The sequence below is a fragment of the Homo sapiens genome, chromosome 9, assembly GCF_000001405.40.
Source record: "Homo sapiens chromosome 9, GRCh38.p14 Primary Assembly".
Taxonomy (NCBI): Eukaryota; Metazoa; Chordata; class Mammalia; order Primates; family Hominidae; genus Homo; species Homo sapiens.
The window spans coordinates 109,193,265-109,219,913 of NC_000009.12; the positions used below are offsets into that span (position 1 = coordinate 109,193,265).

Consider the following 26,649-nt stretch of genomic DNA (forward strand, 5'->3'; position numbering starts at 1 on the left):
AAGACTGGCCTTGGTAATGCAGGAGGTGGCCCTGGACCATTATTCTTCAGCTGTCACCAGGAATTGTGATCCCTGAAGCTGCAAAAGCCTCAGGCATCCAGTTTGCATGAGCACTTTAACCTCCACTGAACCTGACGCCAGCCAGGGCAAGATAGCAGATCTTATTCCCATTTTTAAGAGGAAGAAATTGAGGCTCGAAGAAATAAAGGTTTTGGAAGTGAGTGCTGTGGCTTATGAATGGAAGAGCTGGGAACAGCCTCTGAAGCTCCGGTCTTGCCTTCAGGGCACCTGCCTCCTGCACGCACCTTTTCTCTGTGTAGTCACATGAACCACTGCAACCTCTGACTTGAATCCACTTGGACAGCAATAGGTTCAATTGTATTTGGACCAATTGCCAAAGAGTAATCGTAGCTAGAGGTCTCTCAAAGAAAACCAAGAGAAACATCTTGTGTAAAGCCTTTGTCATAGCCCATTCACATCTCAGGCAATTTCCTGAAATTTCAAACCAGCAAATGGAATAATATTTCCTATTTTCAAACTACTAACACCGGCTATATGACATAAGGGAAGGGATGGGGACACTTCTATGTTTTTGCTCCTCCAAACTGTTCACTATGGTTGGGGGGGAATCATTTCTCTCTTTCTATCTTTACAGTGGACTAATAGCTTATTATAGAGATGAGATTCTAAATGAAAACTGCCCTCAAAAATCTCTTACATTGCAATTAAAGTACAATGAACCTGATTTTATATTTCACTCATTGTCTCACAAATGGTTGGCTTGTATTTTGGGGTCAAGTTATATAAAAACATGTTCTGGTTGTTGCTGTTGTTTTATGAGTATACACAATTGATTATGCAAAATTTAAATACATGCACCAGATGCTACTCAGTAAATTGATACTGAATTCCCAGCAAGTGTGGCTGCTCGCCAGGGCTTTCCACCCCCCAATACCTTGGCCCCAGGGGACAGCAGGCCTTTGCCTTCTGACTTGTGAGGCGAGCTGACATTCTGGACCTTGGGGGACGGCAGCGGCACGGAGACTTGTGTGGCGGCCGTTGTGGTGTTTGTGGTTGTAGATGTGGTCACTCCCACTGCCTCGGCCAGGTCTGGAGGGAGGTCGTCTTCATCACTGCGGTTACTAAAAGCACATGAAGCTCTGCTCATTACAATAATAAACAGGCTGTGAGGAGTGGACGGAGGATGGGCAGGGGTGGGAAGACCAGGGATGGGGATTGGGGGTTCCCAAACAGATGTCCACCAGATGTCCAGCTTGCAGGATCCAATACTCTGACTTTTTTGCCAAAACAAATTGGGGTGAATTTTCTGTCATTTGCCAGGGTGTTGTTTTGTTTTGTTGGTAAAATATATACAATATAATATTTATCATTTTAACTGCTTATAAATATACAATTCAGTGGCATTAAATGCATTCACAATATTGTGCAACCATTGCCACTATCTGTCCCCAAAACTTTTTCATCAGTGACAACAGAAACTCTGTATTGATATTGAACGATAACTCCCCAAGCCCCTCCCTGCAGCCTCTGGTAACATCAATTCCACTTTCTGTCCCAATGAATTTGCCTATTCTAGGAACGTCACATAAGTGGAATCACACACTCTATGTTCCTCTGTGTCTGGCTTATTTTAGTCACCATAATATTTTTAAGGTCCATCCACATTGTAGCATACATCAAAATTTCATTTATTTTTATAATATAAAAATTCCATTATATGGATATACCACATTCTGTTTATCCATTCATCTGTTGATGGACACTTGGCTTGTTCCCACTCTTTTGGCTATTATAAATCATGCTGCCATGAACATGGGTGTACAAACATCTGTCTGACTCTCTGCTTTAAGGGTGGTGCTGGGGACTCCAGGCACATTGTCCCTAAGGATCTGCCATGTAGAGCTTCTGGAGCCACCCTTGCATAGGGGTTGTGATTTAGAATGATGGCTGAGCTCAAGAGTGTAGATACAAGACCCATGACAGGTAGGCACCAGTGCAGCCTGTGCAGATCACTGGTAAGGCCTCAGCCCAGCACGGGGCCACGTGGGAACATGAGGCCGTGAGACAAAGCTGCAGTGCGGATGGGATTGACTGAGGGGTCCCTGAGAGGTTTTAGATTATTCTGTGTATGGAGAAGCCTCAAGGGAAGGACTTAGGGCTCATTACTAAAAAGGGGGAAAGGTGAGAATTGAATAAGTACATGGAAAAATTAATAATACACCAAGTATTTGGATCCACATAGATGACATAGGTCAGATGGGTTACACGTTCATTCACCCACTTAATTTTCACACCGACCCTATTACCATCTCCATTTTTCAGAGAATCAGATGATATTTAGCAGCTGATTGTGAAATTATTTGTTCAAGTTCGCAAAGCTAGTTAAGTGGAGGAGCGGGGTTAAAATTTCTTTTTACCTCATTTAAAAAATTATCACCTCAATAGCATAGTTATTATTATTTAGTTTTATATAAAAGGCCATTTAAAAACCATAGCTCATTTTTCACAGAAGGGAGTCAACTGACACTGCCTAAAATTGAAAAAGACTCCAAATTCATCATGGTTTTTATCTTTTGTCTTAGTTTAGATCTTATGGCCAAGAAGCATATCTAAAATTCAGCAAGTCTTCCAATTTTACCTGTTTCTAAGGTAAATTCATGATAAAGTCATAAAACAACAGTTTCATAAGTAAAATTTTACATACAGAATGATTTTTTGCTTTGAAGTTGTTTCTATTTTAACAATATATAAGCATAGAAACTTGTCTAATGTAACAGTCGTCAACTATGAACCCTGGTTATTTTTGATTCTGGGAAATTGGCTACTTTTCTCTTCTGTCTTGCCTATTTACTTTTTTTTCTTTTCTTTAAATATTTTAATTAACTTATAAATATTTTATTATTTAATTAAAAATTTAAAATATGAAACGCTTCACAAATTTGCATGTCCACCTTGCGCAGGGGGACCATGCTAATCTTCTCTGTATGAGTCCAATTTTAGTATATGTGATGCCAAAGTGAGCACTATTGAATTTTTTTTAGACTTTTACACTATGTTTAAATAAACAGTGAAGTTATATTTCTGGAAAAAAATAAAATAGCTCATGATTTTCTAAACATACTAGCTGGTATCAATAAAAAATGACACTTTTGGCTGGGCACAGAGGCTAATGCCTGTAATCCCGGCACTCTGGGGGGCCAAGGCAGGCGATTGCTTGAGCACAGGAGTCCGAGACCAGCCTGGGCAACATGGTCTGGTCTTGTCTCTACAAAAAATACAAAAATTAGCCAGATGTGGTGGCACACACCTGTAGTCTCAGCTTCTCAGAAGGCTGAGGTGGGAGGATCACCTGAGCTGAATCACCTGAGGCTGCAGTGGGCTGTGATCGACCACTGCACTCCAGCTTGGGCAACAGAGTGAGGCCTTGTCTCCGAAAAAAAAAAAAAAAAAAAAGACCTTTTCGCCTGCCTTAAACTCTCTGTAGAGACCCTCTACTTCTCCATTCTCACTGCATGTAGCAGCCACATTTTCCCTCCTTGTCATATTTCCAGGAAATAATGTGGCTGAGATTTTTGTCTGTATCTTTAAAAGCAGTGGTTTGAAGACTTGTTCACAGCACCTGAATGTTACAATGCTTTTGGTGGAGCAACCTAAAATCTGACTACACCTTATTCCAGCCTAGGAACTAGAAATATTACAACAGCCAAAAGGGCGATGTGTGCACACAAATCTGTATCTCAAAAATGATGATGTAAAAAATATTTTCCAGAAAATCAGAGATCTGAGTTTTCCCATTTATATTCCTTGATCACGTGCCAACTTTATCAATATCAAAGAGTTAAAGAGATGGGCAAAGGCCAGGTGTGGTGGCTCATGCCTGTAATCCCAGCACTTTGGGAGGCTGAAGCGGGCGGATCACCTGAGGTCAGGAGTTCGAGACCAACCTGGCCAACATGGGGAAACCCTGTCTCTACTAAAAACACAAAAATTAGCTGGGCGTGGTGGCACACGCCTGTAATCCCAGCTACTCGGCAGGCTGAGGCAGGAGAATCACTTGAACCTAGGGGGCGGAGGCTGCAGTGAGCTAAGACTGAGCCATTGCACTCCAGCCTGGGTGACAGAGTGAGACTCCACCTCAAAAAAATAAAATAATAATAATAATAAAAAGATGGGCAAATGAGCGGTAGCCAGCGTCAAGGATTCGAGAACTCTTTATGGGACAATAACACTGGGAAAATCTCATCCATGGATGTTGCTATTTTCTACTAATGGGGAAAATGCTGCTATTGTTTGATTTTCAAAGCAGAATACTTTGGGGCAGCTTAAGAAATACACATGTAAAGTTCAAGGTTTGAAAAAGAGTGTCCTTAAAAGAGCCAGTTTGATTAGCCGGGCATGGTGTCATGTGCCTGTAGTCCCAGCTACTTGGGAGGCTGAGGCCGGAGAATCGCTTGAACCCAGGAGGCGAAGGTTGCAGTGAGCCGAGATTGTGCCACTGCACTCCAGCCTGGGCGACAGAGTGAGACTCTGTATCAAAAAAAAAAAAAAACAAAAAAAAGAGTGAGTTTGGTGAGTTAGTGAAATTTCCTTTCCTTCCAGGTTATATATCAGCCAGTCATTGTTTCAAACATGATTACATCTCTCAAATGAGTGATAGTAACATTTTGAGTTTCAAAATGTAAAAGGAATGGCAAGTTCTGCCAGTCTTATCCTCGAGGGAAGCAAACTGTCATGGCTTAATTGTCCCCCAGAGATCATTAGGACTGTTAATTATTTGAACTTTACTCGTTTTGGCTTTCCTAGGAAATGCAGCTGACCAGAAGTTTCTATGAAGGATATGAGGTGGGATATATCTCCCTTAATATCCCCCATACATGCCTCTTTTCCTTTTCACAGGTACAAATGGCAGACCTGAGATGGCTGTTAGAGAATTGCATCCAGAATCCCGTGTCCTGTCCTACATTTTGCACTCTGGGTACCCCCTAAACTCCATCTTTCCTCAGAAGCTTCCAGGTCCTAGAGAAGAAAGAAAGGGGACCTCATCCTATGGCCAGGGTATTGGGGCTTTACCCACATTCTCTCATGTTAAGCCCCACAAAACTCCTCAGAGGCAGGTATTATCTCATCCATTTTACAGAGGAAGGAAGAGAGGATCAAACAGTCACTTTTCCAAGAGCTTACAGCTGTAAACTAGCCAGGGGCCTGACAGAAGCCTTTCCAACTCCAAAGCCCCCATCCTTTTCATTCGTCCAGAGATCCCCCTGCAGTTACTCTCTGACCAATGACACATCTGGGCACAGTACCCATGCCATAGCTAAGGTCAAGAAATGGGAACTACAAGCCGGGCACGGTGGCTCATGCCTGTAATCCTAGCACTTTGGGAGGCCAAGGTGGGGTGGATCACTTGAGGTCAGGAGTTCGAAACCAGCCTGGCCAACATGGTGAAACCCTGTCTCTACTAAAAATACAAAAAAATTAGCTGGGTGTGGTGGCGGGCACCTGTAATCCCAACTACTTGGGAGGCTGAGACAGGAGAATTGCTTGAATCCGGGAGGTGGAGATTGCAGTGAGCTAAGATTGTGCCACTGCACTCCAGCCTGGGTGACAGAGTGACAGAGTGACAGAGCAAGGCTCTGTCTCAAAAAAAAAAAAAAAAAGGGAAATACCATTGTGATCAGTACTACAACTATTACTAGTACTCACCACCCTGATTACAGCAATTATCTTTCTGCTTTGGATTATAATTATTTGTGACTCTTGTCTTTCCCTCCAGTAAAGTGTGAGTCTTTGGATGGGAATTGTCAAAGTCACTTTACTATTCCCTAACGATGCCTAGAACAGTCAGGTGCACATGTGCCCTGGTGATTCTGGGACATTTTGGGAAATGGCTCCTCCTACAGGTGTCAAAGCTCAGTGATTAGCTTTGGTTCTGTTGACAGACGGGGCTGCCTTTTCATGGATATGCCGTGGAAAGCAGCTTCTGATGTGGGTTGCAATGATCCCCGTCCTAGTATTCATGCCCCTGTGTAATCTCTCCCCTTGAGTGTGGGCTGGACATAGGGATTTGCTTCTCATGAACAGAATATGGCAAAAGTGATGGGGGCCAGGTGCGGTGGCTCACACCTGCAGTCCCAGCACTTTGGGAGGTCGAGGCAGGCAGATTACTTGAGGTCAGGAGTTCTAGACCAGCCTGGCCAACATGGTGAAACCCCGTCTCTACCAAAAATACAAAAATCAGCCAGGCTTATTGGCTTATACCTGTAATCCCAACTACTTGGGAGGCTGAGGCAGGGGAATTGCTTGAACCTGGGAGGCGGATTGCAGTGAGCCAAGATCACACCACTGCACTCCAGCCTGAGCGACAGAGCAAGACTTTGTCTCAAAAAGAAAAAAAGTGATGGGATGTCAGTTCTGTGCGTAGGTTACAAAAGACTGTGCCTTTGCCTTGCTGTCACTCTCTCTGGCTCTTCTTATGTGCTTTCTCTGATGGAGAAGGCTGGAGAGACCTATGTGACTACAGGCTGAGGGCATCCTCTGTCCAAGAGTCCTTGAGGACCTGATCCCTGTCAGCAACCGTAAAAACAAGCCTGCAGATGAGACCGCAGCCCTGACACCTTGAATGCAGCCTTGTAAGAGCCCCGGATACAGAAGACCCAGCTAAGCCATGCCCCGACCCCCACTCCACAGGAACTGTGAGGTGATAAAGGTGGATTGTTCTAAGACACTAAGTTTGGGAGTAATTTATTACACAGTAGTCAATAATGAATCCTTATGCTAACTATGTAAGGTTTTCAGGGAGAAAGGGCTAGTCTCATTATTACCTAAATTGGAAATAAATGGAATTTGGGGGCTGCTCCCTGGGACTAGTCAGAAGGGCTAAGAAGCATTTGTATCTAAACAATTAGTCATCATAGTTGTTTTAATTGAAAAAGTTGCAGTACAGAACTCACAAACTATACTGTCTTGTTAACTTCCTCACTCGGGGAGGCTTGATTTCCGGCTTTTCCACAGCTGGCTGGGCAGTTTCCACACGAATAGGAATAGGACTTCTAGAGACACACCGAAAAACAGAACAATACCATCAAAAAAGGTTTATGGTCTCGTTTTAGCCATAGGGACTGCTTTCTCAGTTAATGTACACCTTAATAACATTGATAGTCAAGAAATCCATTTTTTTTGCCTTTCTACCGTACTTAGTTCATAATTATAATTATATTTTAAAACCATAGAAAATCCAAACAGTAAGAAAAAAATCATAGGGAAGAAAATATAGCAAATGGGGCAACTAAACATAATTGAGGTACAAAATAAAATTTCTCTGCTCCGTAACAGCCACCCCTGCCCCCCAATATGAGGGGTGAACCAGAATGAGGGTTTGGCTCATAACCAGGTTTTGCCAGTAAAATGAAGAGAAACCTATGGATAACCTGTTTTTAATTCCAAGTAATCTGGTAGCTATTCTATTTTAAACATAGCACAGACTATATTTTTTTTTTAAAAAAAGATAAGAACCATACTATACTTTGTGTGAAAAATGCATAATCAGAAGACCTTTAGGACTTGCTGTAACACATTTTAATTCCATGTATGTGTGAAAATGCTAAAAATTAAGCGTCACTTTTATCTTTACTCAAGAATTTATTTCAGGTAACCAATGGACCCTACTCAAAATAGTAATTTTAAGGAAAATTTTTAATGCATTTTTGTAGTGGTCATGACTAATTTCATTTTTAAAAAATCAGTTCATTACCTCCTAGGACCAACAAGGCATCAAAACAAGTTGAGGTCCTTGAAAGGGACACCTGGCAAGTCAACTGACACTTTTGGGTCAGTGCTCAATATGGTGATAAGTATGTGGCCGGGGCCTAACAAATGCATGTTGAGGCCGGGTGCAGTGGCTCACGCCTGTAATCCCAGCACTTTAGGAGGCTGAGGTGGGCAGATGACTTGAGGTCAGGAGTTTGAGACCAGCCTGGGCAACATGATAATACCCGTTTCTACAAAAAAATACAAAATTAGCCAGGTATGGTGGCGCATGTTTGTAGTCCCAGCTACTCAAGAGGCTGAGGTGGGAGGATCACCTGAGCCCAGGAGGTCGAGGCTGCAATGAGCAATGATTATGCTACTCCACTGCAGCCTGGGTGCTGGAGTGAGACCCTGTCTCAAAAAAAAAAAAAAAAGAAAAAAAAAGTATGTTGAATAAACACATGAATGAGAAAATAGAGGATTTGAGTCAATGCATTCTATACTCATGGTTTCCTCAAGCTGCGACTCCACAGTAAAGGGAACATGGTCCCTGAAGAACGTATAGTCTATTGAGGGAGCACATGAATTTGCTTGGGTGGAACGGTCAGCATCGGGGAAAGCTACGTGGAGGAGTTTCCTCTTTCCAGATGGAGCGAAGACCACAAAGATGAGAGGCAGAGTGGAGACCTGGCTGAACGCAGGGCACTAGAACTACCATCCGGTGAGGTCTCAGTGGAAGAGCAGAGGGTTTTAACTGGAGGGAAAGTCGAGGCCGGGTCATATGGGGCCTCAGGCTGAGGAGTCTACACTGAAGGCAATGGACCTCAACTCTCTAAAGGTTTTAGGCAAAGGAGTGGCATAGTCAGATTTACATTACAGAAAGGTCCTTAGAACAATGAAGAGGACCAGGTGAAAGGGAGGACAGAAGCATCTTAGAGGACTGTGGGCAGCAGTAGGCCCGGAAGACAATGAGGGCTCAAGGTATAGACAAGAGGAAAAGAGGATGGATGTGGAAGGTAAAATGAAAGTCAAATTGCCAGGACTTGGTGACCAATTAGATGAGGGAATAAGGTAGGAGAAAAGCAAGGACTCCCAGGTTTCAGGCCTGGGTGAGGGGTAGGTAATAATACCATTGACTAAGAATGGAATCCAGGTGAAGGTTAGTGGGGTGGAGTGGGAAGAGATGAATTAAGTTTTTGAAAAGCCCTGGAGGCAGCTGGGTATGTATCTCAGGAGTAAGACAAATTTATACCAAGCACACAGATTGGGAATCATAAGGTGATACAGAGAAATGTTAGCTTTGATTTTTGGCATCGAGTATAATAGTTCCCCAGAGCAGTGGTTCTAGATCACCTAGGTGCCCGCTAACATGATGATTCTTGTCTCTACTGGCACCCACCAAACACCCACCACACACATTCACACAAAGGATCCAAAAGGTCTGGAGTAGGACCCAGGAGTTTGTGTTTTTAAGAAGAGACTCTGATGCAGTGGTCCTTGGACCCATTTTGGGAAACTACCCTAAGGAGACCCTGCTGGTGTTAGTAAACCACCAGGTGGCAATGAGGCCACCACCACCATGCCAAGAAGGAAAGAGTTCCTGTTCTCTGTGAGATCAGGGGAGGAAGGACTTCCTCTGGGTTTGGGGTGGTGGTGGCCTGGAAGCTTTAAAGAACATGTGTAGGGGATGGGAGGAGAGTGGATGATGAGAAATTACTTAATGGGCACAATGTACATTATTTGAGTGATGGATATTCTAAAAGCCCTGACTTCACTACCGTGCAATCTATGCACAGATCCAAGTTACACTTGTACCCCATAAATTTATACAAAGAAAAAGTAGGCTAGGTGTGGTGGCTCACACCTGTAATCTCAGCACTTTGGGAGGCCGGGGTGGGTGGATCACTTAAGTCAGGAGTTCAAGACCAGCCTGGCCAACATAGTGAAGCCCTGTCTCTACTACAATTACAAAAATTAGCTGGCACAGTGGCGTGCACCTGTAATCCCAGTTACTCAGGAGGCTGAGGCACAAGAATTGCTTGAATCTGGGAGGCAGATGTTGCAGTGAGCCGAGATCGCACCACTGCACTCCAGCCTGGGCAACAGAGGAAGACTCTGTCTTAAAAAATAATAATTAAATAAATACATTTTTAAAAGGAACATATGTGGCTCCAGCACTAACAAGAAGCTCAGCAGGCAGGGCACATCAATGGGCCAAGGGAAGCTGGCCCAAGTCCAAGCTGGAGTTGTGAGCAGAGGCCAGGTCTTGAAGGGCCTGGCCTCCTGCACTCTGTTAAGGAGTTGGGATTCCATTCTGAGTGTAAACAGAGCCTTTAAAGGGCTTTAAGCAGGGGGATGGCAATGTGAAGCCCACTTGCTTGAGTGACAACCCCAAGTGATTGATTTCTTTGTTAATGCAGCAGGCAGAGATATTAAAACTGAGAATAAGCAACATTTTTGAGGCTTGCGGAAAGTTAGTTAAGCCAGTCTTTTTCCATCTCTTTGGGCTCCTATTCTCTGTTTTATTTGTCCTCTGATTTTATCAGCTAATGCCCTCGTGAGCAATGTTTCAAGGATAATGTTGATGATACAGAGAATATCATTTCCCCATTCAGACAAGGAGCAACAGACCTTACACTAGCGTCCTGAAGACTGGATTTCTTATTGATATTTACAAACGGTGATTCCTCCTTTCCACCCTGTTAAAGAAAGCATTCAGGTTAGTCAAAACTGAATATGTTGGCATGCAAAAAATGTTTTCAAGTCTCTTACATTCAAAAGATTATAGAAATTGGCAAGTGGACCAAAGAGGTAGTTCACCAAGTACTCAATCAATAGAGAATCTTGCACTGGTGTTTATATATGTTAACAAAAAATGTTTTCTTGAGTAATAGGATTAAGACAATCATTCAGATGCAATCAATTCTTGCATTCATGCTTTTATTGAACACCTGCTACGTGCCAGCTCATGCTTGAATTAGAAAGGGATAGTGTGGGAAAAGCCAAACCCGCAGTTTAATCCTTCACCTCACAGTTTGGGTCAGGAATAATAATCAGCTCTATGTTCACATAGCACTTACAGTTTACAAAGGAATTTGGAATCTGTCCTTTCACATCAGCATAACAACCATAACAGCCTGGCAGGAATCACGTCATATGATTTTGAGAGAAACCTTGTCCTCCTCCCTCTGATGAGTCCCACAAAGAATAGTGGGGGAAGAAGAGACACCCACTCAGCCAGCCAGGCCAGCTGACCACACACTAGTGGTCAATAGAACATGCAGAGGCCTGCAGCCCTCACGACCATCACAACATACAGAGCTTGGCCTCTGTTCTAAATACATATTGAGCAAAGATTTCAAGCCTGCTGGCTTGGAGGACATGGCATTATTAGCCTGTCAAGATTGCCCACATATAGATCCAGTCTTACATCCTAATCAAAGCCTTTTTAATTTTTGTTTTTGATTTCTTTATTTCTTGAGAGAGGGTCTGTTCTGTTGCCCAGGCTGGAGTGCAGCAGCACGATCATGGCTCACTGCGGCCTTGACTTCCTGGGCTCAATCAATCCTCCTGCCTCAACCTCCAGATTAGCTGGGACTACAGGCTCAAACCACAACACGCAGCTAATTTGTTTCATATTTTTTTTGTAGAGACGAGGTTTTGCCATGTTGCCCAGGCTGGTCTTGAACTCCTGGGCTCAAGCGATCTGCCCACCTTGGCCTCCCAAAATTCTGGGATTACAGGCATGAGCCACCACACCCAGCCAAAGCCTTTTTTAGAGTTAGCAACAGATAGTACCATTGGTCTGTTTGACTTCTGCTTCCTTTCCTTATACTCTCACTATGCACTGATGCCAATAGGGGATTAACATTTAAACCCCTAGCAGTATACTTGGCTGTGCATCAACCTCCTCTCCCTCCATCACAACCCCTCAAAACCCTCTAAACCATGGATTCCCAAAGCATGCTTCTGTGTTCCTATGAATTTCAGTTCTACAGATAACAGTAGGAGCTACTTATGGCCAGTTAGGTGTGAAAGAAAGTAAAACAGGCTTCTTTCCTGCAGGACTTTTCAGAGACTATAAGAAGCTGATGTGTACTGGGACTGTCCCATGGGATTTCATGTGCAGCATTTCCAGAATTATCAGGGAGAATCCTGTGGGGCTTGTGTTCCTTATAACATCTTGGGAAACGCTAATGTCAAATTACTGACTTCACACTCCCCTGCTTTTTTCCTGCTTTCATGCCCTTCCACTGTGTCCTTTTGGCTAGGAAATGTGTTCTTACCTATTTGTCATCTCTTCCCTATACTTTACAAAATAGAATATTTTCAAGATACTGCACTTCTCCAATGGAGCAGAAATATGGGTCCTCCACAGATAATACCTGCAGCATGGGGTTATTGGGAACATGTTACAACTTTCTAATGTAGATAATTACAGCTTTGTAAATTGCAAAATATGTGTCAGTTTTGTTTGTTCTGTGATAGTATAAAAATGGCATACCTGAAATCAATGAAGGTAGACTGAAAATAAAGAATTTGTGACTATAACCTTGACATTCCTGAGTTTGTGATGGGAAATAAACCTGACCATCCTCTAAAAAGGGCTACTACTGTTATCTGTAAGCAATCAGTGCCCCCAGCAATTTCATCACGCCACAACTGTGACCACTGTTGTCAATACCTCTGCAGTGGTGGAGCAAGGCATTGCACCAGGTACTCTGCATAGATAATCTCATGTAATCTTCACAATAACCTGACAGATGTTGTTATCTCCATTTTCATAGGAGAGAACTAAGGCTCAGAGAGGTTGACAAACAAGCTTAAGGTGACATTCCTGATCAATCACAGATCAAGGTTCAAAGCCAGACCATCTGACTTTGAAACTTGTGTTCTACATCTTACTGCCTCCTGTTTATATCACAACCCCCAAATAAAAGACATTTTGTAAGCTTTCTCTTGACTTTCATGGTATGTTCTGGAAGGACCTAAATTATTCAGATTGCTACATATATAAATGGAAATAATAATAGAAGAGATTACTGAGTATTTACTTTACCCTTGGCAACATAAGCATATACATTAGGTTTATAAGGAATGAAGGAGATAGTTTTTAAAATTTATTTCTTATTTTTTACTTTATTTAATTATTTATTTGTTTATTTTTTGTGAGACGGAGTCTCGCTGTGTTGCCCAGGCTACAGTGCAGTGGAGCAATCTCTGCTCACTGTAGCCTCTGCCTCCTGGGTTCAAACAATTCTCCTGCCTCAGCCTCCCGAGTAGTAGGATTATAGGCATGCACCACCACACCTGGCTAAGTTTCATATTTTTAGTAGAGACAGGGTTTCGCCATGTTGACCAGGCTACTCTCAAACTCCTGGCCTCAAGTGATCCACCCGCCTTGGCCTTCCAATGTGCTGAGGCTACAGGCATGAGCCACTGTGCCCAGGGTGAAGAAGATAGTTATATATTTTTCTAATGAAATCACGGACTGCAGCTTTTTATAATATTTCCAGGACAAGGATGACAAGTGGGCTTCCACCTGAGTGCCAACTCTGATCAACAGGTGGTACCTCCTTGGAATGCCCACCATGTAGAAAGTGATTCTGAGGCTGCATTTAGGGTCACAGGGAAAGAGTCATGGTCCACCAGGGATACCTGTTATGAGTTCAAGTGGGAGAATTTATGGCAGCTATTAAACTAGCAACTTTTATCTCCAAGTCCACCTTTCAAACATCTATTTTATGGAGCTGGCCCAGGGGCCTGCAAACCTCATGTCTGCTTTGCCAGGTGGCTCCATGATAGGTTCTGTCCACATGGGGCGCTCCTTGTCTGCTTCCTGCTCCTGCGAGTCACCCCAGCCTTGCTGCTTCTTGTGGGCAGCAGCAGGTCCTCCTGCAGTCACAGCTGAATACAATTTGCAGTTTTCCAACACTGGCAGATCCAGCTGCATGGTATCCACCTCAGACATATCAGCACCAGCCAGCTGATGTCCCCTCCTCAGTCTGAGTCCAGGACCCACAGGCATGTCTTAAGAGCTCAGAAATGCCAGCGCCAGGCACAGTGGCCCCTGCTTAGAAGTCTGAGTTTAGTCTCCACAGGGCTTCTCCTCCAAATATCTAAATTTTAATGTTGACAGCATCTCTGTTCCCTCAGCTATAGGGATGGAAAGTGTGGCCTGCAGTTGCTACCTCTGGTACCTTAGAGTTGTGTGGCCCAAAATGTGGTCCTGTGGGCTTGTTAGAAATGCATATTCAGGCTGGCACAATGGCTCATGCCTGTAATCCCAGTACTTTAGGAGGCTGAGGCGCGAGGATTGCTTGAGTCCAGGAGTTCGAGACCAGCCTGGCCAAGATAGGAAAACCCTGTCTCTATAAAAAAAATACAAAAATTAGCCAGGTGTGATGGTGCATGCCTGTAGTCCCAGCTACTCGGGAGGCTGAGGCAGGAGGATTGATTGAGGCTGTGAGGTTGAGGCTGCAGTGAGCCATGATCCCACCACTGCAGCCCAGCCTTTGCAACAGAGTGAGACAAGAAAGAAAGAAAGAAAAAGAAAGAGAGAGAGAAAGGAGAGGAGAGGAGAGGAATATTCATGAGCCCCCACCCCAATTTACCAAATCTCTGGGGACAGGGCCCAGTTTTCCAGGTGACTTATGCACAATAACATTTGAGAACTGCTGCCTTCAAGTTCTCTTTTCACCCTTTCATGTACCTAATCCTTTTAAATTAAAATCATGGTTCACATATCAGGTATGGTTCACATGCCCGGTTCTCATCTCCTGACTGGACCCTGACTGACACAGCATCTCAGTCCTACGGTGCCTCTTTCTTCTCTGTGGCATCGAGGAAATCCTATAACATGAAATCAAAGGAATGTATGCATTCTGCGCACCTGGATGTTCACTCGGGAAGCATTTTCCAACTGGGCTTTCAGAATGTTACACTTCACATGATCCGCAACAGGGGAAGGCAAAAGTGGAGTCTGAAGAGTTTTCTCCGAGACTTTCTTTTCTTCAGCCTGAGACAAACCAAAATACAAACAGCAGATTGTAAACAAAGAGAGAACCATGTGCATTAACTTTTCCCAATAATCATAACTGCATATAACACAGACCTACATACATAGACAGGGGTGTCACCAACTCCTTATATTTTTATCTGTGCTTTACTATTTGCAAAGGGTTCTCAGGCACAGCATGTCATTCCCTCGTGAAATAGGGTGAGGACCTACCAGAAGCCAGGGTAAAGGTTTAAAGAGAAGAAAAGGCTTTTCCAGCATCATGGGGCAAGAGCCAGTGGCAGAAGAGGACATCTCCTGGTTCAAGTCTCCTAACCTCAGTCCAGTGTTATTTTCCCCATAACTGCCATCTCTTACATAGAAAAATTCAATTCTGTGACTTGTTGGGTCCAGGGGAAGGGTACAAAATATTCATTGGTAGTTTGACAACAAATCTTGCAGAAAATTGTGATTTTCAACAAGAAATTTATATTTGTTAGCTTATTGTAGAGTGTCTTGTACTTCAGTAATTTGCATGACCTTTATAATTTTTGCCATATCTCATGTATTCACTGAACATGTATCTATAATTCATGTGATCCAGTTAAGGTGAATTACCCTGGGACCACCTATTTGAACTGTGTCCAAAGCAATAATATCTTTGAAATTATAGGCTTTGTGACTATTATATTTATTATAATAAACATGATGATATTTAAATCACTATTAAAATAAAAAGTACTCATCCATGTGTACAACCTGAAATCACCTTTGATGGTATACACACTACATTTTGGGAAATAATGTCTTATTGTTAACCATGCCTATTGTGGTCATTTCATATCCCAATGCTAATATGGTACCCGGCACATAGTAGATGTCCAATAAATACCTACTAAAGAAGATTATGATAATATACAGTCATTATTAGAAGAGACGTGTTTAATAAGGAAGACAGGACCGTGTGATTGCTAGAGGTCAGTTCAGTAATATTAGGACTAAATGTGACATATCAGCCACCATGCACCAGAGCAAGAATCAAATGTCCCAAAGCTCTCAAGTTCTTCAAGTTCCAACATTAATCTTATTCACTAATTAAGAAGTCCTACTGAGCATGTTGGTACACACTAAGTGCTATGAAAGCTAGAGGAAGTATAGAGCAACTGGCCAGCTAATATCGTTTAATAAAGAAATGAGGTAGAGTTTCCCAGGGGGACCTCCAAACATATGGAGAAGCATTTGGTAGACCAAGCAGAACTTTCCAATTTTATGTAATAGCAAGACGGCAGAGACAGATTTGAATCTCAGCTCTTTCACTTACTTGGACCATTAAAAAAAAAAAGGATCATGGGCTGGGCACGGTGGCTCACACTTGTAATCCCAGCGCTTTGGGAGGCCGGGGCGGGTGGATCACTTGAGCCCAGGAGTTGGAGACCAGCCTGGGAAACACAGCGAAACCCCATCTCTACTAAAAATAGAAAAATTAAGAGGGCGTGGTGGCCCTCACCTATAATTCCAGCTACTCGGGAGAATCACCTGAGCTCAGGGGTGGAGGTTGCAGTGAGCCAAGACTGCACCACTGCACTCCAGCATGGGCAACAGAGCAAAACCCTGTCTCAAAAAAAAAAAAAAGATGCTGTTTATAAAAAGAAAAAGAGTGCCAGTGGCTAACATATACTGAGAGCTTATTATGGGTTAGCCACTGACTATGCATTTCATACGCATGTCTCACCAAGTCCCCTCATGCAACCATCTCATTTCAAGATAACTACTATCATTATCCCCAGTTTATAGATACAAAAAACAAAGCAGATAGATGGTAAGTCACTTGTCCATAGTCACACAGGAAGTAAGCAGAGGAGCCAAGATTGACAGCCAGAAATGGTGATGTTGGTTACTCCAAAGCCAGAGCTCCTGACTAGTCAATCGTACTGCTTCCCCTTCAATTCTCTGAATCTGTTTCTTTCTTCATAGGATTGTTATGGTGCTCAAGTGAGAAAAACAGATATAAATGGCACTTTCAGGTTAGATTCTTTAGTTAGCAAATATATATAACCAAAAAAAAAAGAGCATTGGATGTGAGAACACTAATGATCGATCCTGAGCTATCAATCGTTCCTGAGCCATCAAGCTGAATCTGAAGAAAGCTGGCTCATTTGACTGGATTCATTATCCTGAGGGCCTCCACATTCTCCTTCAGGCAAATAAGTAACATTTATTTTGAAAGGTGAGGTTTACAGTATACCCTTAAGATAATTTATCTTGTGTTTGTAAATCCTGTTACATCAAGATAATTGAATGGATATTTCACTGGTGCATGAAGAGATAGTTTTAAAATTAGATTTAATTTTTCAGAATGGTATACTGGCATACAGGAGTCAAATTGGTTATAAAGCCCATTTGAGGCTTTTGACAATTGCTTAAGGGGAAGTAGTTATACTGGCAGTAATGACCGAAGACCCACTTCAAAAAATAGAATGCTGCTAAAATAAGAACGAAAAGTTAGCACTGATTTTCCCCTTGAATTTACTAATTCTAAACTGCTTTTTTGGACATAAAATTCAAGCTGGCTTGTTCTTGTTCATTCTGGACAATGCAAGACCTGTAATATTCTGCTATATGAACTGACGCAGGTGAAGGCCAATATACATTTTGGGAAATTTGTGCGTCGTCATATGAATTTGTATAAAAGATATCTCTGTGGCAGATAAGCATCTGGGTTCCAAGACCGTATCATTCCTTCCTGGAGGATGGCTTCAAGAATGTTGTGCTTTCTCCTTTCCTGTGACTGTATTTTGTATTTTATGTTCAGTCAATTTGAATTGTGGAAAGATACTTTGTTGTTCAATATGGGATTACAGATTTCAAAACATAGACATGAATGACAATTAGGCTTTGATATTATTATAGTTGGAAATAGTCCGTCTGTTTGGGGATATCATTTGGGGATAAAGAAATGATCAGATGTATATTTGAATTGTTTATACAAATTGTTTACACATCTAAAATCTGATGAGAATTAAATTCTTGTGTTAATTTTGGGCACAAACTTTGGAACTGGACAGTGAAAATGACATCTCACCATTCAATCAAGAAGCGAAAGTTATCCAAACCTTAGAAGAATCAGAGGATTCTTGATCCTTGAGGCTGGAAAAAACCTTAAAAGCCATCCAAGCCAGTGGCTCCCAATTTTGGTGTCATGATCAGAAGTGAGAAGGGAGATCTGTTGCAAGGAATGTTTCATGGATGATAACAACAACAACAACAACAACAAATTAAAGTGTGGCCAGGCATGGTGGCTCATGCCTGTAATCCCAGCCATTTGGGAGGCTGCGGAGTGTGGATCACTTGAGGCCAGGAGTTCAAGACCAGCCTGACCAACATGGTGAAATCCCATGTCTACTAAAAATATAAAAATTAGCCAGGTGTGGTGGTGCGTGCCTGTAATCTCAGCTACTTGGGAGGCTGAGGCAGAGGAATTGCTTGAACCCGGGAGGTGGAGGTTGCAGTGAGCCGAGATCATGCCACTGCACTCCAGCCTGGGAGACAGAGTGAGACGCCATCTCAAAAAAAAAAAAAAATCAAAGTGTGAAGTAATATATTTTGTGTGTGTGTGTGTCGGGACAAAGTCAAAATTATCTGTATAATCACATCACTCTAGCTTACTTGATTACTAATGTATTTCTTTTCTTTTTTTTTTTTTTTGAGAGGGAGTCTCGCTCTGTCACCTAGGCTGCAGTGCAGTGGCAGGATCTCAGCTCACTGCAACCTCTGTCTCGTGGGTTCAAGCGATTCTTCTGCCTCAGCCTCCCTAGTAGCTGGGATTACAGGTGCCCGCCACCACAACTTGCTAATTTTTGTACTTATAGTAGAGATGGGGGGGGTCTCGCCATGTTGCCCAGGCTGGTCTTGAACTCCTGACCTCAAGAGATCCACCCGCCTTAGCCTCCCAAAGTGCTGGGATTACAGGCATGAACCACCATGCCAGGCCAATTTCTTTGAGTGGAGGAGATAGGAAGGGAGTTGTAACTTGACCTCCAGGGAAATGCTCGATAACCCACAGGTGTCTCAGGTAGGCCTTCACCCAGAGCAAACTGCTGTTGTCAACGCTCCACCAATAGTCATGGCAATTGCAAATCACTATAGAGCTTGTGAGTTCTGTGCTACACTATATGCTGTATTTCCTTGCAAAATATTTTTGGATTTTGCCAAAGTCTGGATAAGCCCCCATTAAAACCATTTATTGTGTACACTGCAGAAGAAAAGTTGAAAACCAGGCGACTAAGAAAAAGAAGACCAATCAGGGGGCACACGGTGCATTGGGTTGAATCCCTAGCAGCTAGGGCAAGCCTGCTCAATAAAGATCTGTTGATTGAATGGCTATCAGAGCCATCCTGCAGGAGGAATTCTCTCTAGCTGGCAATCATGGAGGGAGGTATAGAAAAAAAAAGTGAATGAGCAGGGCTTTTTGAAGGTTAAACCTGCAGTTGGGGTCCATTAGTAATCAGAGGAACTTTAGGCCGCCCTGCTGAGGGATTATGGGAAAGGTCAGGGACGGGAAGGGCAGGAGGTGTAACCTTCCCATGCTGCACAGAGCAGTTCTTCCAAATTCTTCCTATTCCCTCTCATAAAGGGACAAAGCTAAGCATTAAAGAGGAAGAAAGGAACCATGAATGAAAAAGATTCTTCCTTAGGGGATTTAAAAAATTAAAATGTATGTACAACAGTGGTTCTCAACTAGGGAGATTTTGCCCTTCTGAGAACATTTGGCAATGTCTGGAGACATTTTTGGTTGTCACAACTGGATGGGGGTCCCTAGTGGCATTTAGTGCATTGTGGCTGCAAAACATTTTACAATGCACAGGACAGCCACTGCAAAAAAGAGTCATCAGGCCAAAATGTTGCTAGTGCCAAAGTTGAGAAACGCTGGCAAAGAAAACGAGGAAGCATGTTGGAGTGCCAAGGACACTGGATCGAGAGTCAAGGGCTTTGCAACCTTGTGAAGGGCCGTGTGACCTTGAGAAAGTCATTTCTCTTCTTCTGGTCTGAGACATTGAGAAGGTTGTCAAGGGCTGTGCAACCTTGAGAAAGTCATTTCCCTTCCTCTGGTCTGAGACATTGAGAAGGTTGAACTAAATGGCAGACTGAATCCAGCAGTGGTATGTATCGTTCTAAGATAAAATTTGACTTTTATAAGGCTGCCTCTTTGGATGTAAGAATAGGTCTAGTCAAAAGGGGGCCTGGCTTCTGCCCTGTCTCCTTCTCCTTCTGTATCTTAATCCCTCCCTTCCTTCCATCTGCAAATGGTTACTGAACATCTACAATGTGCCAGGCATTGTCAGAGGGAGATAGAGGGCTAGAAATGCAAAGCGGTAAATGTGGATGCTCCCTCTGGAGCTTTCGGTCTAGTAGGAGGGAGAGACAACTAACAAACAGATCTAGCCTGTCAGGCAAAACACTGGGAACGACGCCTAATGCTATAATTCACCCAAAAGGAAGGTAAGTAAATATTTGCTCCTAAAAGACAGCCTGAACAGAAATGTCAGGAAAGATGGAATAGAGATCCCTCCAAGGCAAAGGCACTTGGTTTAGCAGGCAGGCTAGGGTAGTAATCAGAGGTTTGATGTCAGCACCAAGTCCATGGTCATGGCAGAGCCCCGGCCCTTGGCACCTTGTTTATGTTGATGTGCAGAGGAGGCCAGGGTCCAGCAGCCTTCACAGTTTCCAGTTCCAGCTTCTTTAGATGGGCAGCGGCTTCACTGAACAAGGCAGGTGTTCCTGGACTCAGTTCTACAAAGCAGCCAGGAGAAATAAATAAGGAAAGGTTGAAAGGACAGATAGATACAGGGGAAAAGGGACACTTGCCAGCGCCCGATTCCCAGCACCCTTTCTGCCGGCCTCCTCCTCCAGCAGCTCTCATGCCTTCAGTATGCATCAGCTGATAGGGTGTGAGAATATCTGAGGTCAAGGTTTCAAGGCTTAACTGTCCCACACATGAGCTGGACGCCCCTGGGTACGTTGTTTTGCCTCTCTGACCCTCTGAGCCATTTAAAAATGAAAATAAAATTACTTACCTTGCAGGGTTGCTGTGAATATCCAATGAAGTCATTTATGTATAAATGCTTTAAAAATGGAAAAGCATTATGCAAATTGGAAAGATTAGTGTTCAGGCAAACAGGCATATAACGTGCCCTTAAAAGCCATGTTATGTTCCTAAAATCAAATCCATTGATTTTTATTTCTGTGCTACTTTGGATTCATTTGCCACTACTTCTCCTTCCAGCTTGAATTTACTCATTAATACATTAAATATTCATTAAATATTAAATATTCATTACATATTAAAACTTGTGCCAAGTATCGTTAGCAACTGGGATCTGGGAGCTGAAAGAAAGAGGTGAATGAGACAAAATTTTAATCTAATGGGGATGACGGACACATGTGGAGATATTCCGAAGAAGACTGAGAAAAGGTTTATTTAATTGCTAAAGGAGCAGGACGGAACTGAGGATGGGTGTTAGAGAACATTTCACTGACAAGCGAACATTTGAATGGGCTGCTAAGGGATGTGTAGGAGTTCAACAAGGTGGGGAAAAGTATTCCAGGCAAAGGGAACAGCAGGTGCAAAGGACAGAGTTGAGACCCAGTAGAGTATTTTGTAAGAAGAGAGTAGTTCTGTGTAGCTAGAGTATGGTGAGGAGTGGAGGGAAGAATGAAGACCTTGGCAGGGGTCAGGATACGCAAGGTCTGTGTATGGCCCTGCTCAGAAGCGAGGACTTTATCCCAGACAGTGAAGAGCTAATGAAAGGTCTTATGGCATGTGGTCAGAGTTATGTGGTGAGAACTATGACTTTGGCAGCTACTATTTGGAGATTGTCCTGGAGCGGGTGCCCCTTAGGAGGCTGTTATGGTTATTTAGATATACAAAGATGAGGCAGGGACTAGGGCATGGGCAGTGTGGATAGTGATGAGGGACAGAGTTCGGATTCTTCAATACCAAGTGGGTGTCGAGTTTCCATTTCCAGCTCAGCTGACACAGAGTTGTTCCCTGTGGCCCCAAGGTGAAGGTTGGATGGCCCATCCTGTCTCAACAGCTCACAGACTCACACAATATCAGAGCTGGAAGATTCCTTGGTCATCATCTCAATACCCTCTACCCTATTTCATGGATGAGAAAATAGAAGATCAAAGAGGGAACTCAGTTCAAGGGTAAGAGCTAGAATCGAAGCCTCCACTTCAGTACTTTTCTTTTCTTTTCTTTTCTTTTTTGAGACAGAGTCTCACTCTGTCGCCCAGGCTGGAGTGCGGTGGCACCATCTCGGCTCACTGCAACCTCCACCTCCCAGGTTCAAGTGATTCTCGTGCCTCGGCCTCCCAAGTAGCCAGGATTATAGGTGCACGCCACCAGGCCCAGCTAATTTTTGTATTTTCAGTAGAGACAGGGTTTCACCACGTTGGCCAGGTTGGTCTCGAACTCTTGACCTAGGCGATCCACCCATCTCGGCCTCCCAAAGTGCTGGGATTACAAGCATAATTACAACCTCTGCCTCCAAGTTTCAAGCGATTCTCCTGCCTCAACCTCCTGAGTAGCTGAGATTATAGGCACGTACCACTGCGTCCAGCCCTCAGTACTTTTCAAACCACATTTGATAAACAACAGGTTCTTTTCATACCAAAGATGAATTCTTTGGTAACGTATAATAAAAGTGAGTTTCTAGAAAAATAAAATAACGGACATGCCGAATCAAAGCCCATATTTTTATTAGATTTAAAAGATATAAACTCATTCTATCATATTGCTAACAATATTTCTGGGCTGGGTATGGTGGCTCATGCCTATAATCCCAGAACTTTGGGAGGCTGAAGCAGGAGTGTTGCTTAAGCCCAAGAGTTCAAGACCATCCTGGGCAACATGGCAAGACCCTGTCATAAAATAAAATAATAAAATTTCTAATTGCTCACTCTCTATTTTTGTAACTTCTCTTTCTGGGACCCATAACAGTAGACAGATTGGATCTACCTGACACCACTTTGCTCTCCCAAGTGGAATGTCAAAAATGGGATAGAATGAGTTTTTCTATGATGAAGAAAGTAGAAAGTCCAGCCATCACTCCCCTCCCCTCTTTCTCTTTTCCATTGCTCAAGCCAGTGCTGGGTACCACAGAGGCAGAGAACTGTTAAGAAAGGAGGTGGAGGCGGGGCACTGTGGCTCACGCCTGTAATCCCAGCACTTTGGGATTTTTTTCGTCCAGCTCTTTTGTAAGGCACTAATCTATTCATAAGAGTGGAACTCTCATGACTTAATCACTTTTCAAAAGCCTTCACTTCTTGACCGGGCATGGTGGCTCACGCCTGTAATCCTAGCACTTTGGGAGGCCGAGATGTGTGGATCACCTGAAGTCAGGAGTTTGAGACCAGCCTGGCCAACATAGTCAAAATCTGTCTCTACTAAAAATACAAAAATTAGTTGGGTGTGGTGGCACATGCCTATAATCTCAGCTACTCGGGAGGCTGAGGCAGGAGAATTGCTCGGACCTGGGAGGGGGAGGGTGCAATGAGCCGAGATCATGCCACTGCACTCCAGCCTGGGTGACAGAGCCAGACTCCAGACTCCATCTCAAAAAAAAAAAAAAAGAAAAGAAAAAAAGAAAGGAGGTGGAGAACTGTGACCCTATAATGAAATTAGAGTTTACTGGTAAACCATAATCCCTAAAGTGCTTCTGCTCAAATGCATAAGGCTCTTGTCTACTCTGGCCCAAACCCGGTAGCCCAGCATAACATGACAACCATTGTGTGCTGCACCGCAAGGGTCTGTCTTAAGAATCTAGGGAACTCTCGTGCCCTGCAGCATTGCTCCCCCTTCTCCTGCCTTGCCCCCTCCACCCCTACTCACTTGTAAGGGACTTGCTGCTGGAGTTTGGGGACCTCAGAGGCCCCTCTTTGTTCTCCAGGGTCAGTGAGAGGCTGTAGTTTGAGTGGTGCTGGTGCTGATGCTGATGCTGGTGCTGGTGGTGATGCCTTCCTGAAGCTGCGGTGAGGAACGGTGTGCCCCCATTCTCCTCAATGCCAAAAGGCAACCGGTCCGAGCTGCTAAGCACTGGGGAAGGGAGCGGGTAGCTGTGGAGGGTGACACAGTCAGGATTTAGAAAAGCAGAATGCCTTGCAAGCCCTCTGTGTACTTTCAAAGACGTTTTCTAGGCATTAAACACTGAAAGAAATAAACTCAAAAACTAGATCTGTAGTTATTATAAAGTATATACAATGGTAATATTATACTTAAGAAAAAGAGCAAAGTGGAAGTTTGTATATATCAGAGACTTTAAGTCTTGTAACTTAAAGAAGTATTTGAAATTAAATGAAATAATATTTATTTCTTTTTTTTAAAGGCATTCTCTAAATGAGAGGAAGAGGTAAAAACAATAATAAAAAATCATTTGTAAATAATCCTATGACAAGATCATAATGCAAACTAGAAGTCTTGGGGTCAGTTTCTCTTCCTCTCTGTCACCCACAACATGCAGAAAGCTCCAGTTAACATCAGTGCTGCAACATCTTTTTCTTGAGACAGGGTCTTGCTGTGTTGCCCAGGCTGGAGTGCAGTGGTGCAAACACAGCTCACTGTGGCCTCAAGCTCCCAGGCTCAAGTGATTCTCCCACCTCAGCCTCCCAGGCAACTGGGGCCACAGGGATATGACACCATGCCTGGCTAATTTTTAAAATTTTTTGTAGAGACAGGATCTCGCTATGTTGCCTGGGCTGGTCTCAAACTCCTGGGCTCAAGTGGTCCACCCTCCTGGGCTTCCCAAAATGCTGGGATTACAGGTGTAAGCCACTGTGCCCAGCTTACAACATCTTTTAATTCCAGTGGACCACCTCCTTTTAAAAAAAAAACAAAAAACAACTAGGATTGCCCCATTTGAAGGCCGTGTCATCTCCCACCTAGACTCTTGTAACAGATTCCTGCTGGCTCTCCCCGTCTCTGCTCGTTCCTTTAGTCCATCCTCCACAGAGTAATTGCCAGAGTGCTATTCTAATTACATTCCAGACCATGCTCTCCTTCTTCAAGGAGCTTGAATATATCTCTAATACTAATAATTCTTTTTTTTTTTTTTTTTTTGGCAGTGTCTCACTCTGTTGCCCAGGTTGGAATACAGTGGCACTATCTCAGCTCACTGCAACCTCCACCTCCCAGGCTCAAGCAATTCTCATGCCTCAGCCTCCTGAGTAGCTGGGATTACAGGTGCACACCACCATGCCTGGCTAGTTTTTGTATTTTTAGTAGAGATGGGGTTTCACCATGTTGGCCAAGCTGGTTTCAAACCCCTGACCTCAAGTGACCTGCCTGCCTCAGCCTCCGAAAGTGCTGGGATTACAGGCATGAACCACCGCACCCAGCCTAACACTAATAATTCTTAACCACTTTAAGACAGAAACCCCTTTGAAAATCTGGTGAATACCACGAACCTTCCCTGTACCAACAAACAACATTCTACACACAATATCAGGCCCTCTAGAGCCTCTCCATGGACCCAGGTGAAGAGCCCTGGCTTGAAGGATAAAAGCCACAATCCTTTATGTGGCACTGACAGCACCTCCCCCCGCCCCCAGTCTTGGCCCTTTCTCTTTTCAGCCTCATCTCCTGCTACATCCTTCTACTTCCCACCCTAACTCCTTCCCATCCCGATGCCTCTTACTTCTTGGTGCCTCCTGAAGTCCTTCCTCATCTGTCAACCCAGTGAAAATACCCCTTCTTCCAGGAAGACTTCCAGCCTTTAAGACCCAGATAAAGATCCCTTCCTCTTATTCCCTGGCAGGGCTAACCCCTTTTTCTGCTCATTCCCATGGTTCAGATCTCTACTGCCCACTCTTTCACTCTGTCTTCAAGGAACTCACACTCCAGAGTAGGAAGCTCTGTGATTCAGTCACTTACAATCATACTAGAACAAACTGCTAAGAAAATGCAGAAGTGGAAGCAATCAGTTCTCCTGGGGGAAGGTGTTTGTAAGGGAAAGAGCATTCGGGGGAAGACAGTTAGGTTTTGCTGGACAGTTCTTGAAACAGAATCTTCTTTCTTATAGGAAACCCCATTCCTTGTGTTTGTATGGGATTGACATTTCCTCCTCAGGGGTGGGCCTGAGACTTGAGCCTGGCCAATCAGAGTCCTGCATCCTTCTAATGAGAGTGTTCTGGAATGTCATCCAATTAGGGACAATCAGAGTTTTTCCTAAGATTTAACACATGAAAACTGAAAGGAAGGCTCTCTCTTTCTTTGTAACAGGCAAGCAGGGCCTTATTGTGCCTTTTTGTGCCACAAGCACTTTTGCCTTTGTCCATTTTCTTTCCTTTTTTTGAGATGGAGTCTCGCTCTGTCGCCCAGGCTAGAGTGCAGTGGCGCGATCTCAGCTCACTGCAAACTCCGCCTCCCGGGTTCACGCCATTCTCCTGCTTCAGCCTCCTGAGTAGCTGGGACTACATGCACCTGCCACCACTCCTGGCTATTGGTTTGTATTTTTAATAGAGATGGGGTTTCACCGTGTTAGCCAGGACGGTCTCGATCTCCTGACCTTGTGATCCACCCGCCTCCCAAAGTGCTGGGATTACAGGCGTGAGCCACCGTGCCTGGCCACCTTTGTCCATTTTCTATAAAAATTAACTAAAAATTAAATTTCACAACTGCATAAAAGTAAATATGTTAATAACATATACTAAAACATTTTCTTCAACGGAAAATCCATTTTTTTCTTATTTTAAAAAATATTTAAAACCTTTTCGTGGGCCCCTGAAAGTATTGTGAGTCTAAGTATTGTGTGCCTACTGTGTGTAATGGGTAAGCTGGCTCCGGCTGTAAGGATGATGGAAGTTAGGGCTCTTTGTGAACATCTTTT

The 26,649-nt window shown here is 43.6% G+C and overlaps 1 protein-coding gene and 1 pseudogene across 8 annotated transcripts in view; both read right to left on the reverse strand.

The window, feature by feature from the left end:
• Window positions 1-26,649, reverse strand: part of EPB41L4B (erythrocyte membrane protein band 4.1 like 4B) — a 149,086-nt gene that overhangs the window by 21,291 nt on the left and 101,146 nt on the right. For 4 of the 8 annotated variants that reach the window (XM_017014815.2, XM_017014814.2, NM_019114.5 and 1 more), the window contains exons 16-21: window positions 23,658-23,881; window positions 20,436-20,554; window positions 14,660-14,785; window positions 10,399-10,466; window positions 6,972-7,070; window positions 956-1,133 (exon numbers count right to left, since the gene is read on the reverse strand). In XM_017014815.2, the coding sequence (XP_016870304.1) occupies window positions 956-1,133; window positions 6,972-7,070; window positions 10,399-10,466; window positions 14,660-14,785; window positions 20,436-20,554; window positions 23,658-23,881 (814 nt within the window). Of the gene's footprint in view, window positions 1-955; window positions 1,143-6,971; window positions 7,071-10,398; window positions 10,467-14,659; window positions 14,786-20,435; window positions 20,555-23,657; window positions 23,882-26,649 lie in introns of all 8 variants that reach the window. The other 4 variants (XM_011518794.3, NM_001385623.1, XM_017014813.2 and 1 more) reach the window with 1 other exon arrangement.
• On the reverse strand, window positions 2,937-3,045 carry RNU6-984P (RNA, U6 small nuclear 984, pseudogene; annotated as a pseudogene).